General features: G+C 40.1%; 1 long non-coding RNA gene across 1 annotated transcript in view, besides 1 other annotated feature; it reads left to right on the top strand.

Moving 5' to 3' along the window:
- The window catches only part of LOC285762 (uncharacterized), a 38,756-nt gene extending 24,636 nt beyond the window's left edge, over positions 1 to 14,120 (top strand). Inside the window, exons 4-6 of the long non-coding RNA NR_046100.1 lie at positions 9,483 to 9,749; positions 10,292 to 10,557; positions 11,474 to 14,120. This is a non-coding gene — a long non-coding RNA (uncharacterized LOC285762). The remainder of the gene's footprint in view (positions 1 to 9,482; positions 9,750 to 10,291; positions 10,558 to 11,473) is intronic.
- Positions 6,975 to 7,034: an enhancer, noted in NCBI's record as "active region_25018". NCBI's record gives its function as "activates an Ori minimal core promoter by ATAC-STARR-seq in GM12878 lymphoblastoid cells {active_cell/tissue: GM12878}" and the evidence as "EXISTENCE:reporter gene assay evidence [ECO:0000049][PMID:35858748]".
- Positions 14,121 to 14,387: the final 267 nt, after the last annotated feature.

The raw sequence follows: 14,387 nt of genomic DNA, 5'->3' as shown, positions 1-14,387 counted from the left end.
ACGATTCTGGAGGCCTGAAGTCTGAAATCAAGGTGTCAGCAGGGCCACACTCCCTGCAGTGGGTCCAGGAGAGATTTTGTTCCTTGCCTCCTCTAGCCTCTGGTCACTATCAGGATTCCTTGACTTGTGCCTCCATCTGCACATCCTTTACGCTTCTGTGTCTCTCTTCTGTGTGCCTCCCATAAGAACACTTGTCATTGAATTTAGGGCCTACCCAGATAATCCAGGATGATCTCCTTATCTCAAGATCCTTAACTTAATTACATCTGCAAAGACTCTTTCTCCAAGTAAGTTAATATCCACAGGTTCCAGGATTAGGATGTGGACATCTGTTTTGGGCAGGGGTGGTGGAGGGGGCACGATTCAGCCTAGTACAGGCACAGAATAAGGTAACTGTATAACCATGCTTACTTTCCATATAGTGGGACCAAATTCTCAGACACTAAATTCTCATACAAATAAATATACCTTCCTTTTTTTTTTCTGTAACTTTATCTCTATTTTGAATTCCCCCATTCTTCTGAGCAATGAACTTCAAGTTTCAGTCAATACAGGATCTGTCCCCTTGGGATACTGTCTATCCATGGCAGCATCAGTGAGATGCCCTCGGGCCCTGTGGTCTTTTCTCAGCAGTCCTCACAGGTCACTGTCACCCAGATGACAATCACATCCTCATTAGCCCGTCTCTTCAGGCCCACTCCTCTCCTCACTGCTTCGGTATCCTGCCAGGCACATAGAACTCATCTTGTAGGCAACTCTGCTGGGGGTTTAGAAGACTCTTTCTCCCTTGTTTTTGTTGTTTTCTGGGCTTTCTCATACTCCTACCATTCCCCTCCGCTCCATACATACATTCATTTTGTAGTCTCAGTCCCCATTTCCTTGCCTGGTATGGAGTTACAGAGATAACCAGGAAAGTCTTCTCAGCTACCATATTGAAATTAAATGTTTCTACATAGATATCTCCCCCTGGCCCATCCCCTCCACTCTTTCTTATCCTCTCTCCCTCTTTTCCATGCATTTGTTATTTCTCCTTTTACTCCTTCTTTATTCCCAGGCATTGCTTTTCCCATCGCCTTCTCTCCCTTGGTTTCTCCCCTTCTTTTTTCCTAATTTTTTTCTTCCTCAATTATTTCATTCTTCCTCAAAAGGCCATAATACACATCATTTAGTTACTTTTTTTTGTTAGATCAAAGAGTACATCTATTTTCCTCTTTTTGGGAAGAGCCAAGCAATTTAAAATTTCCAAATTTTCGCTCCCTAGAGGGAAAAAGGCCCAAAGTTTGTTTCAAATTGTTCTTTATGTGTTCAGGACCCCATGTTATTATTTTTAACCTATAGTCCAATGACTGCCTAAAGATAAATAGATTCCACATGAGACCTTTTGACATCCTGTTTTCTAAAGTACTGTCCCCAAGAAGGGCCAGTTCTCTCTGTTTTGTATTCAAATAAAAAATATACAATTTGAGTCTGTGGAAGAAAGTTCATATCAGTAAGATTTTGGGACGCTGGATGCTAGACCAGGCAAGGAGATGCACGGTCTCCTGCTCTTGCGTACTTCATGTCAGCCCATGACGGAGTGCACTGAGAGTGAAAGGGTGATGTCTACAGGAGGTGAAGGGTTTGCCCACACTGAGGCACATGCCTCTTTCTTTGGTCTCTTCCTTAGTGTCTGAGAGAAAGAACTTACAGCTCTCCAGGGAAGGCCAGGACATTGAGTTGGAGGACAATTGCCTTATGTGCATCTGTTTGGGGTTGTTTATTTTGCATGGGTATCTCCTAAAAAATAAGACAGGATTAGGATACTCTGGATCTGAGTTTCCCACCAAACACTATAACATCCAAATTAACATTTATTTTATGTAATAGTAGCTCCTTTATTAAGCACCACACTATGTGGTAAGTACTGTACACACTTATGTACGTCACTTCACTCATTTGTTTTTTCAGCAACCATATATCTAGGTAAGTATCATTATCATATTACAGATGGAGGAAAATGAGGCCTGAGGAGGTAAAATGTTGGTCAAAGTTAACAAATTGGTAAATGTTAGAGATGAGATGTTAACACCAAACCTCTTATTCTTCCTACTACACTATATTTATCATCTAAAAGTAACCTCTCATGCTCTTTCCATATCTGAAACAAAGAGATTTCATGACCTCTGTAAAGTCACAATTTTCACAGATTTCAAACAATATCTTCCTCAGGATCAAGCTTTTTTTTTTATTAGGGTTGGTTTTAAACTCCCAATCTGTGTTCTCTTCAAGGAAATTTTCTCAGTCATGCTTGGAAACCTGGCTTTCCACTACAATTACTTGTTTTAGGTGGCAAATGCTTTCTCTAGCTAAATCAGTCACTATAATAATATTCCCACAAGTATGCAAGGCTGAGCACAGTGTACTGCCTATGGTAGATAACTAAAATGTGTGAAGAAGTGAATTCCTTCTGAGAAGTTCAGAAAACATGAAGACTAACCAGCATGGATAAAATAGAGAGGAGATTGGTCTTTCCTAAGGAATAGGTTTGTGCCAGATAATATACGATCAAATTATGAAGGGCACTGAAAGCCAGGCAAGGAGTTTAAACTTGATGCCGCAGGCAAGAGGAAGCCAATAAAAGTATTTGATCCAAGGTGAGGCAATAATAAAAGCAATGTTTAAGAAAGAGTCACCTCACAGTGTGATGCAGAATGAACTGGTGCTAAAGAGAATGGAACCAGGTGCATCAGTGAACCATTGGTACAGAAATCCAAACATAAACTAATGAGGGCCTAGACAAGAACCAGAGAAACATGAATGATGTCTCACCACTGAACTAAGCTGCATTGCTTATGTTTCCTTAAGACAATTATCTATTTTAGTTACTGAGAGTTTAAGTGTGATGTGGTTGCTGATGTGTTAAATAATAATTTTAAAAAACCCTCTGATATGTCATACTTGGTAATCCCTTCTCAAGGCCTTGCAGTACTTGAACGCACTGGAGTCATTATCTACTTGACACTCTCACAATATATGTGTCTTTAGAAAAAGCTAATACTTGGGAGAAAAACCAAGTTTTCAAACAGTTGATTAACAGGTGCAGATGTGAGGCGGTAGCTGGCATCAGAAGGCCTGGGTTTCCATCCCAGTTCTACCAATTAGTAGCTGTGTGGCTTTAGGCAAGTCATTTCACCATACTGAGCTCCAATTTCCTCAGCTGTAAAATGAAGATTCCAAAACCTATCTACAGGATTACAGTCAAATTTAAATGAAAAAAAAATACATGAAAGTACTTCATAAATTTTACAGCGCAATATGAGTACAAGATTTTATTTTTGTGAGCAATTACACATAAGTTGAAACTAAAGCTCCCACTCATTCAAAATGAAACTTCATTAGAAATCTCTACAGTTATGTATTTCCTGTAGCTTTGGGTGGACCCAACAGCAGAAAACAAGAGCAAGTGGCAGGCAAGCAGGTGATGTCAGAAATACTGCCAAGTAGCAATAGGACCCACACAGTTTTGGCAACAGCTACGATGCATCACAGACAGATAACACACTAAGACGTGAAGAGATGTGATAGGTATCTGGGAGGTCAGGCATCCCCAGGGGCTGAAATCCTAGAGAGATGTGGGCACTTGAGTTCAGGCCAAGACTGTGGGCTCTGGAAAGAATGGCAAGAGTAAAGGCCAACTCTGATTCCAGAAAAACTTAGGAACAGAAAAACCAGGTCAGGAGTGTGGAACACGTGGAGACACAGGAACAAAAGGTGGTTAAATGTTACCAGAGGTAGGTGACAAGGAAAGAATTTGGCATAAGGAATAAGTCAATAATTTTGGTATAGAACCCAGATTTAAGGCTAAACCAGGCAGCCATAAGGCTAATACAATTCTGAGCTGCCTGAGCTACTGGCCTCAGGTTCCTAAAATTTCCCCTCTAATGGTAAGGTTGATTTTTTTAAAAACTTAAGTGCCGGAAGTTACATTTATACCTATTAAATTTCATCTTGTTTCATTTGGCCCATCAGTCCAGCCAGTCAGTATCTTTTTGAATCCTGACTCTGCTGTCCAGTAATTAGTTATTGCTCCCAGCTTCATGTCATCTTCAGATTTGAAGAGTGTACTTTCTGTGCTTTGCCACTGGTTGATTAAAAGTTCGACAGAACGTAGTGGCACATCCCTGAAAGTTTCTTCTAGGAGACAGCCAGCTTCAAAGCCACTTAATACACTCTCAGTGAGTTCTCATTTCCTCACCTTCCAAAACAAATATCAAAAGAGGTACTGTCAAGTGTCTTGCTAAAATCCTGAAACACTGAAAGCCATAGCACTGCTCTCCATTTTCCAGTCCCCAGTCTTCTCTCAGGCATTTGCAAATCCTCATCCCCTCTTTCCACCTCATCCCACTTCAGAACTAGTTCACTCTTTTTGCCAGGTCCACCTGTGTCATGAATCCCAGCACTTCCCATCCCCTCCAGGTCCTCTATGCATCACTTTTTCTTCTCCTTTATTTTCCACATCCTTCTTTCCACCAACTTCTTCTTTACCTTAGGAAAGTGGTTCTCAAACTTTAGCATGCATCAGAATCATCTGGAAAACTTGGTAAAATACAGACTGCTAGGACCCAAGAGTTTGCATTTCTAGTGTTTCTCAAAGTGTGGTCCTGAGACAAGAATCATACCTGGAACTGGTTAGACATGCACAATTATCAGGCCCCACTTCAGACCTACTGAATCAGAAATTCCAGAGCTAGGGCCCATCAGTCTGTGTTTCAACAGGTATTTATCTCCAGGTAATTCTCATACATGCTAAAGTTTGAGAACCACTGCTCTGCATATTGAGTACAAACAGAGATTTGCAACCAGAGAAATCTGAGTTTGGAGCCCTGCTTTGCCCCTTCCAATCTGTGTACTGAGGTCATATGACTTACCATCTCTAAGCCTCAATATTTTAATCTATAAACTGAGAATGATAGTACCTACCTCCACAGATGGTATGAAGATTAAATGGTATAATGTAGGTAAAATGCTCAGTACAATGCCTAAATATTCAATAAACAGAAGCTGTATTTGCATTATCTATTAGAAAATGACTACATCTGTATCATCATTTGAAAGAAAAAAATCTCTCCATCTACCTCATGCCCTACTCTAACCTTCATAACCAAGACCATAAAAATCTTCATTCACTCTCTCCAGATCTTGGTCCATTTATTTGGGGCTATAACAGAATACATGAGACTAGGTAATTTACATATTTTTAAAAAGAGGTTTATTTGGCTCATGATTCTGCAGGCTGGGAAGTCCAAGATGCATGGCATCAGCATCTGCTTGGCTTCTGGTGAGGGCTTCATGCTGTATCACATCATGGCAAAGAAGAGGAAGAGGAAATGGACACATGCAGAGAGCAAAACGTGAGAGGCAACTTCACTTTATAACAACCCACTCCTGCAGAAATTAATCCAGTCTCTCAAGAAAGACTTAATCTATCTCAACAACCTAATCATCTTTCAATGGCCCCACCTCCCAAAACCACCACATTGACAATTAAATTTAACCATGAGTTTTGGTGGGGACAAACCACATCCAAACCATGGCACTTTAGTTTCTCACATCCATCGCTCTTTAGGTTACTGCTATTGGCTGCTGTCCTCACCACTCCACTAAGCTGTCCTACCTAAGACCATCAATGATCTAATTCTGGAAGTAGTAGACTCTGCAGAATTCATCTTTCTAACCTCCATATCCTTTCCTTTGTGATGGTCTCACTTCCCTTGGTTTCCACCTGGCAGCCTTTCATGGTCCTTCTAACTTTCTGCTGATTCTGTCTCAGTCACAGTAACGGGCTCCTCTCCTGATACCTATATTTTGAGCCCTTTCCATAATTCACTCTCATTTCTTCTCAACATGACCACAGCTTTACCTACCTCCTACCTATATTCCCAGACAAGAGCTCTGTCCAGAGCTCCAGACATCTCCAAATGACTACTAGATATCCCAACCTGGAGATCCATGGCACCTCAAAATCACCACACCCAAAGACCAAAGTCATCATCTACTGACCCAGATCTGTTCTGTTCTTCACAATTCCTTATGTTCTCAAATAGACTGGGAGGTCTCAAGGTCAAAGTCAGGGTCTGATTATCTCTGTCCTCCCATACTTGGACTCAGAGCCAGGTAAGTACTTCATATGTATGTATTTATCAAATGCCTGAATCAGTAAAGTAAATAATGGCATAGTGTGCAGCAATTTTTATAAAAAGAAATTAAATACTCACATAGAAAAAAGGAAACAAAATACTTTCTAAATCCATGCTGATACTAGGAGTCATTATGTCCCTTTCTAGATCTTGATTTCAAATTAATCTGTCTTTAGTGTCTAAAATCCACTTTCTCCCCTCATTAACCATTAAGATGGGGCAACATGATGAGCACTGTGCTCAGATGATGGACAAGCAGACACGAATTCAACATGAGGTCTCTGCAACACCGTCGCCAGGACAACTGCTCCACATGACCAGTGCCCTCTCATCTTTTGGAGCTAGTCTTTTCATAACATGTTTCAGGGTGCCTAATATACATTATATTAGATATAATATATATTTCTATCATCTATTTTTGCAATTTGCTGTATATATAACAGACACCAAATATAATATCAAGTACAATATCAAAAAAAACAAAAAAAATTAAGATGTTTATCCATCTAGTCTTTCTGTATCTCTCTTCATAAATTCTCCACAATTACCAAGAGTAGTTTTGTAAACACTGTAATTCTACTAGAACGCAGTTTATCCACAGACTTGAATGCTTTGTCAGCTAAGTGTTTTCTCACTATCACTTTCCTTATCTGGGGTTTCTGTTCCTTCTTAACTATGTTTGCTTTGTTCTTTCCAGTTTGAAGATCATTCTCCTTGCTACAGTAGACGAAGGTGAATTCAAAGTTGAGTGGTTCTGTTTTCTCAATCATTTTGCCTTACCCCACCCATCTCTACTCCATCAAGCCTTTATTTCTTCCTCATTCTTTGGTTCAAGGTACAGTTCTGGACATCCTTTTATATTATCTTTAGCACTTTTATGATGCGGATTAGACTTGCTGATTATATTCTTGTATTTTTAGCCACGTTAGCAATATTCATCCTTGGAAACTAGCTCATCCTTCAATCGTTTGTATCTTGGCCAAGGGTGAAGACACAAAAGCGGGTAGGGAGCAGGGCTAAGAATGGAGCAGGCACCCTCTGCCCTGGAGAGATGCAGTACAGGTTTCAGAATGACCCAAAAGCTCAACATCAGGTCTCAGTTGCCAGAAAAGGCAAGACCTGGGCTTGCCAGATGTCCCCTGTTGAACCAGACAGTCAAGTATTTTAACTTCTTGTCTAATAACATGAAAATTTCAAATTGGTTGTTATTTCAATTTCAGATTTGCCTTATCTTAATTCCAGTTTTCTATTTAATCAACAGTGGTTTGGAACATTTTCAGCTTTTAGTTTCTTACTAAGTTAAATATTTAATGATCTGTAAACAAACACTTGAGAAGATGCTACTTAAAGGGACTCTCATCCCTCTTTACTTTGTAAAGTGAATGAATTCACTCTTGAATTTATCTTTAAATTTTCAGGTAAGTGTTTGAATGTAAAAAGTGGAGCTGGCATGGTAGGGTTGATGAGAAGGAAGCATCACTGTAGAAAGCTTCCGAATCTTTCAGTCCCCCACCCCTACTGAGGACACAGTCTTTCTGCAGAGTCTTTCTGGCCATCACAACAGGGAGCAAGGGTTAGGGAAGGGGAAGAAGAAACCAATAAAGTGTAAGTATGGTACCAGGAGTATACCAAGACCATGAAGGAGAAAGAGATCACATGCAAATATAGGTTGAAGTAGGTTTGAAATCCAAGGAGAGATATTCCAAGAAACAAATATAGAGATGAGAGAGAGTGAGAGACAGAGAGAGAGAAAGAGAGAGAAATTTAAATACATAGGTAAATTCACAAGCAGAAGGAAATCAAAAGCCAGAGGAACCATTAAAGGGCAAACAAAGTAAACTGAACAAGGGTGAGTAGGAAAGACATGGCTTGATAAAACAGCTACTCATTATCTACACTCACTTTAGATTCCAAGAACAGGTTTATGTTCTGTATTAGTCTGTTCTCACACTGCCAATAAAAACATACCTGAGACTGGGTAATTTATAAAGGAAAGAGGTTTAATTGACTCACAGTTCCACAGAGCTGGGGAGGCCTCAGGAAACACAATCATGGCAGAAGGGGAAGCAAACACGTCCTTCTTCACATGGTAGCAGCAAAGAGAAGTGCCGAGTAAAAGGGCGAAAAGCCCCTTATAAAACCATTAGATCTCGTGAGAACTCACTATTATGAGAACAGCATGGAGGTAACTGCCCCCATGATTCAATTATGTCCCACCAGGTCCCTCCCACGACACATGGGATTATAAGAACTACAGTTCAAGATGAGAGCTCACCTGAGAGCTCCCTACTTCTTTAGATGACTAACTTTTATCCCTTATAAGAACTATTTCTTGCAGGACTATCAGAATTTTATTTTATCTTATTTTTTAAATTTTATTTTTAAGAGCCACTCATGCCTCTTGGATCCCTTCTGGAATATTAGGTTTTAGAATTTTGCTTTTTGAAAAATCCGCCTCTCCCCAGAAGTTGAGGGCTCTTTCCTCTGGTTAGTACATATAGGATAACATAGTCACTTCCACTTCAGCAACAGCTTCTTCCCTTATTCATCAGAATTAGATCCAAGATGGCAGCTCCCCTTTTTATTTATAAGAAATGAAACTATCAGGAGGGCAAATCAAACAATTCTCAGAAGTTTTTCTTCCAATTTATTGTCATCCTTGCATTATTGTCTCATATTTGAATATCTGTCATGGTGGGGTTTCAGCTACAGTCCCCCAAATTTCTCCATGTAATTTCCCAGCTGCAATCATGGAAGTAGAGACAGATCCACATCACTTCCAAGGGGACTCTGTGGTCACAGAAACCATCACCATGCAGGCGCCAAGATTTCTGGGTGTCAGGGCATGGGGAGGTAGAAACGGGTAGGTCTTTTAGGGCCAGGGTCACCTGCAGTAAGTCCTAGCCTGAAGCAATGTGGGAAGCAGAAGTCAAAGAGAAGTGCAAAACTGAAAGTGGTAAATTGTGCAAAGATCCTTAATGCCCAGAGGTGAGTGGCAAAGCTTCAAATATGGTATGGCTCCCAAATGGTGGGAGCCAATGCTTGGGTCTAGAGCCAGGAGTTCATTAGAGGGGGGAAAAGGCAAGGACAAAAACATCTGGAGAAAACCAGTAGGGTTTATTTGATTCTTGGCTTTGAGTCGTCTAAGTATGTTGTTTCACAACTTTATGAGAGCAGGCTCTTGTCTTTTTGTTCACTGCTCTATCCCTGGGGCCCAGCACAGTCCCTGACATATATAGCAAATGTTCCAAAAATTAGTATCGAATCACTCAAACAACAGTGCTTTCAACTTTTTTTTTTTAACAGATCAGCGTAAGTGTGGCTAACAGTGATTGGAATGGATTTAAAGCGTCAATTCCAAAGTAGAGATTATGAGTCAACTTTTTTTGCAGGGGGCTATCCTCTGTCAGAGTTATATCAACTTATAATTTTCCTGTAGTCTCAATACCACTAAGCCATCTCTACTAATAGAGATAAGAGAAAGAACCTGCATTATTTATCAGTATGCATCTCACATTGAAAACCTAACCTTACCAACATTGCCTGGGAATGCTAATGTCTTCTGTGCCATGGGTAAGTGGTAAAAAATGATAACTCCTTTGAAATTATAATAAAATAAATTTTAAATCAACTAGAAGCTTCAAACAATTCTTCTTTTGAGAGATCTTTCCAAAGCAAACTTAATCTAAAACTTTAGATAACACAAATATATTTTCACCTTATTTAAAACTGTTACTAGTGGGAGTCTTTAGGAAGGCATTAAAAGACTTTTTTTTGGCTCTGGTGCTGCAAAAATAAATGGATTCAATACCACTCTGAACTGTATAATAATTTAATGATTCTCAGATTCCAAGATAAAACTTCTAACAGGGGAATGAGACCACTATCATCATTTATGTTGAAGTCTGCCCAATATGTTCAAAAGATCCATGCTTATTATAACAGTGCAGAAGAAGACTTTCATTTTATAATCTTTGAAGCAATAGAACGCTAAAATCTAACTCTTTGTAATATTAAAATGTTGTGAGGCTTTGAACCCCACTTTTGTAATAACCATGAGTGCTTTCTGTGCTGGTTTGCCTGGCTCCTGATTTCCACATGCCCGTGTCCCTCAGGAGAGCACAACAGGGCACTGTGTAAGCACTGTGTAAGAAGATGTGGTGAAGAGTGACCACCTATGAACACATTCCCAGTGGACAGACCTTTTCAAGTTCTCCTCTTGACGTTGGCTTGCTTTGGGGATGACTGTCTGGTGTTCCTGCCCTTGCTATGGTGAAAACAGAGCACAAGGAAAGCCACGGAAGGCAAACAGGGAATGCAACCTTAGATCAATCCTTCCCAAACTGTCACTGAGACACAGAAGCCACAGAGACACACTCACGTGAGTAAAAGATAAATTCATGGATATCATGAGAGAGTGGTCTACTTTATCGAGTGAAAGGAAAGAGGCTTAAAATGAGTCTTAGGTAAATGAGTAAGAAAGCTCCTCCTTATAACTCTCTATCTCTCCAGGCATGCACAACTTGCTAGAATTCTGCACATAGCTTACAGATACTCATGGCCATGATTCGAACAAAGGAGGATGAAGAAAAAGCATTTTCTTTTCTCTACAGCCTCCCCTTCCTTTAACTCTGACCCTGGCCACAGTCCCTTGAGGCTGTTGCTGGTGATGAGCACCAGTAAGGAGCAGGGAGAAATCTGAAGCCACACAGAGGTAAAGATTACCCATGGAAGCAGGACATAAAATCAGAGAGGAGCAGTCATCCTAGACATGAGTATGCCGGAAGGCAAGGGAAAGTCTAAAGCATCAAGGCCAAGGCCAGGTAGAAAAATGGGATCTGAAGCTAGAAGTCTGAAAGAATGAGAATAGGCAAGACCAAGAGAATGAGTTCAGGAGACTGAGCTTAAAAATGTTCCTTGACACAACACTACAGATAAAGGGTATGAGCGTCTCTGTATCTGTTTTCTTGGGCAGGAGGTTAGGTGGGAGTAGTTAGGGCATTGTGCTTCTCAAGAAATTCTCAGGATTGTACCCCCATTCTTCTCCTCACATATAGTACTGTCATTTGGGGAGGTGGGGTGGTGCTGAAGATGTTTCTACCCTACCCCTTGAAGATCCAGAATGGCAGCTAACAGTCTCCCTAAGTAAGCAAGTCATTCACTCTATAACTTGAGCATAGGGAAGCCTAAGGTTGGGCTGGAATAAATGTTATTCTTTATAACTATAATCCATGCTCAGAGAACGCGTTTTGTTCAGCAAGAAAAGTGAGCTAAATGGAGGCTTTTTTTTTTTACAGACGTTATGACACTTGAAGAATTATGTAGGTTATTGCTGACACCATGTAAGCACCCTCTAAAATAACCCAGAAAAAATGCTCTGAGAAGACCTGAATTACAAGTGTGTGGAATACCTCCATCTTCTGCTTAACTGATGTGAACCACAGGGAAGGGATAATTGTGGAAATGAAACAGGAAACAAGCAAAACCATTTATAACACATGAAAATGAGTAAGCAAGCAAGTTGGCATGCATGAGATATAGAAAAAAGAGCGAATTTGTATCTAGTGCTTCCAGTGAATTGTTCAAGAACACTTCATCCTTGGAGAAGAATTTCCTCTAATTCTGTCAAGGGTGGTGTCTGCATGGGTTACGTGCCAAGTAATTGCCTGGTCACAAGCTAACAGTGTCAAGAGGCTATTTTAAAGATGAATGGGAACACAAAACATATTTTGTCCTATTCACCACTTTGAATATATCTCAGGAACAAAACTTGCACCTGAAATGAAATGGAGAAATGCGATTTTTATGAGTTACTGGCTTTTTCCCCCCTTCACACCACTGACAGAACAAAAACATTTAGAGGAAGACAGCCCAATGTCATGTAAGTATTTGTATATTTGTTCTCACCATGGTACACAAGGGACATATCGAACCCTTTCCCTGACTAAAAACAGGACATTATTTAAGCTCTGCCATCACACTCCAATGCTTTTCAATAGCTAGAAGAATTCTGCATTCCTTCCCATAGGAACTGTAAGCTCAAAAAGAAAAATTCTTCTGCAACACACTCTATCAATAACTTGTATTCATTTTGCTTTCTGAAATAGTTACTTTTTAAAATGTATATGCTAAGAAAAAGTGAAAGAAGAAAAAAGAGGCCCTCCATCTATGAATTGTGCTCTTTTTTTATTCATATGATTTCCAAGACCAAGCAAATTATCATAATCTTCCTAACAGAGATACACAATTCCACCTAAGAATTACCATTTACTTAAACCAGTGAAAAGCAGTTTCTATTAGATGCTGAGACAAGTCATCTGTATGTGTTCATATGTGCTCCCTAGAAATTATTTTTGAATTTCAAGGTTATAAATAATTCCCAAACTCAAGTTCATGCTGATATTCTAATATGGGTTATTTGTTCTCCTCTGCTGGTGTCATTTCTTTTGATTTAATCATTATCCCTTACAGGCTGGCACTGGTCTATTCAGTATACTGACAGGACCAAGCCATCATCCCACCTAAGAATATCAATTATGCTTTCAAAGCATACAATTTGATTCATGCAGAAGCTACTGTATATGCATCATGGTGTTTTCATAAAGACTCCCTTATTTACTCTAAACAGTGTTATGCCTTTTACCATAAGATTCTGTAGTAACTGTTTAACCTTTCTAAATCTTTTCAAGAAATCTTAAAAGAAAGGAAAGCTTGCCCTCAAGAATACACTTTCTGTTCTTATAAAAATCAGCTCCTCTATAAATAGCTGCAGTGAGGCAAAGCTTCAAAGCTTCAGCCTAAAATGCCATGAGTACTGTCCTGTAGAGACAGCTTTCAACCATGTCTGAGTCGGCACAAAAAAGGAACTTCCTGCCAGCTGAATGTGTGTCTCCCAACTTTCTCTCCTCATGCATATCTAAAAAGGATACTGAGCTAGAATTGCTAGTAGTTTTCCTATTTAAGGCCTGTATGGAAGTCGTTCCCACAGTAGAAGCTGGAAACACACACACAGCCCACTCCTTCACTCACTCATAACCTAGCAGGACCAGCTCCGGGCCCGCTCAGCTCCCTGTGCTGCCTGATTTCTCATTTCTCGAAGCACACAGAGGCTGGAATGAGCCCACCATCTGCCCCAACCACCAGAAACAAAAACATGCCTTTTTCTATCCCTGTGTGTGCAGGCAACGTCCACCCATGCTGCTCAAGCCCTTTGATCCTACAGACCAAGCCACCACATCCTCTTCATACCCCCTCATGCACCCATGAACACAAGCACGCACACACACACACACACACACGCACAAACACACATGCCCACACAATGCTCACAGTGATGTCAGGAGTGGTTACCCTTCCTTCCATATGCCTATGTACCATATGACAGAGACAGCAACAAGGAAAAACATTACTTCGCCTCCCCAAACCAATCCTAATGTCTTTCTTCAGTGAAAATGGTTCATCTGCACTGGGGTCCTCCATGTAAGAGCCAGAAGTTCTGGGCTTCTCCAGATATGTGCACATCGAGAAATAATGAGCACAACTGTATGGTAGTGAAGACAAACAATTGCAGTACAGTTGAAAACTGCTCTGTGTGAACTGATTACCCACAGAGTACCATGCTCTGCCAGGGTCGGTGTGGTAGAGGGCCATCTCCTCCCGTGCCATTCTTCTAGGATCAGCTATGTCAGCTCTTGTTAAAAACTCCTCACCAAAAAGAATCAAAAACAGAAACCAAGATAGCACTTGAGAGAAGATGGAGGAGATGTTCATTCCTGTACCCATCTCTGGAGGGCCACATGTTTGGAGACTACAGTACAGTTTGCCTCTATCTGCTTACTATAATCCTGAGGATGGATTTTGAAGCATAGTTAAATGGTGTTGGCCATTTCCCCTCACTTTAATTATTCAAAATAAACAAACAAATAAAATGCCTTTCCAAATGCTTCATCAATGTTTTTATAGGCATATATATGCATCTTTAAAAATTAAGATCGTACTATATATGCTTTTGTTAAGCTTTTTCATTTAAATATTTTGTTTTTCATGAAATATACATTGATAAGAATTTTCTTAATTACATGTTCTTCGACACAACTTTTTTTGACATTTATCAATTTAATTAGATATTAAACATCTAGGTGTAATTGGGGATGAACTTATCTGTGGCACGGATCAGGTACAGTCTGCAGAAGCCTGGATTCTTACTAGCAC

Source organism: Homo sapiens, chromosome 6 (assembly GCF_000001405.40).
Source record: "Homo sapiens chromosome 6, GRCh38.p14 Primary Assembly".
Classification (NCBI taxonomy): Eukaryota; Metazoa; Chordata; class Mammalia; order Primates; family Hominidae; genus Homo; species Homo sapiens.
Note: the sequence above shows the minus strand (reverse complement) of the source record. Positions and strands in the feature narration are given on the sequence as shown.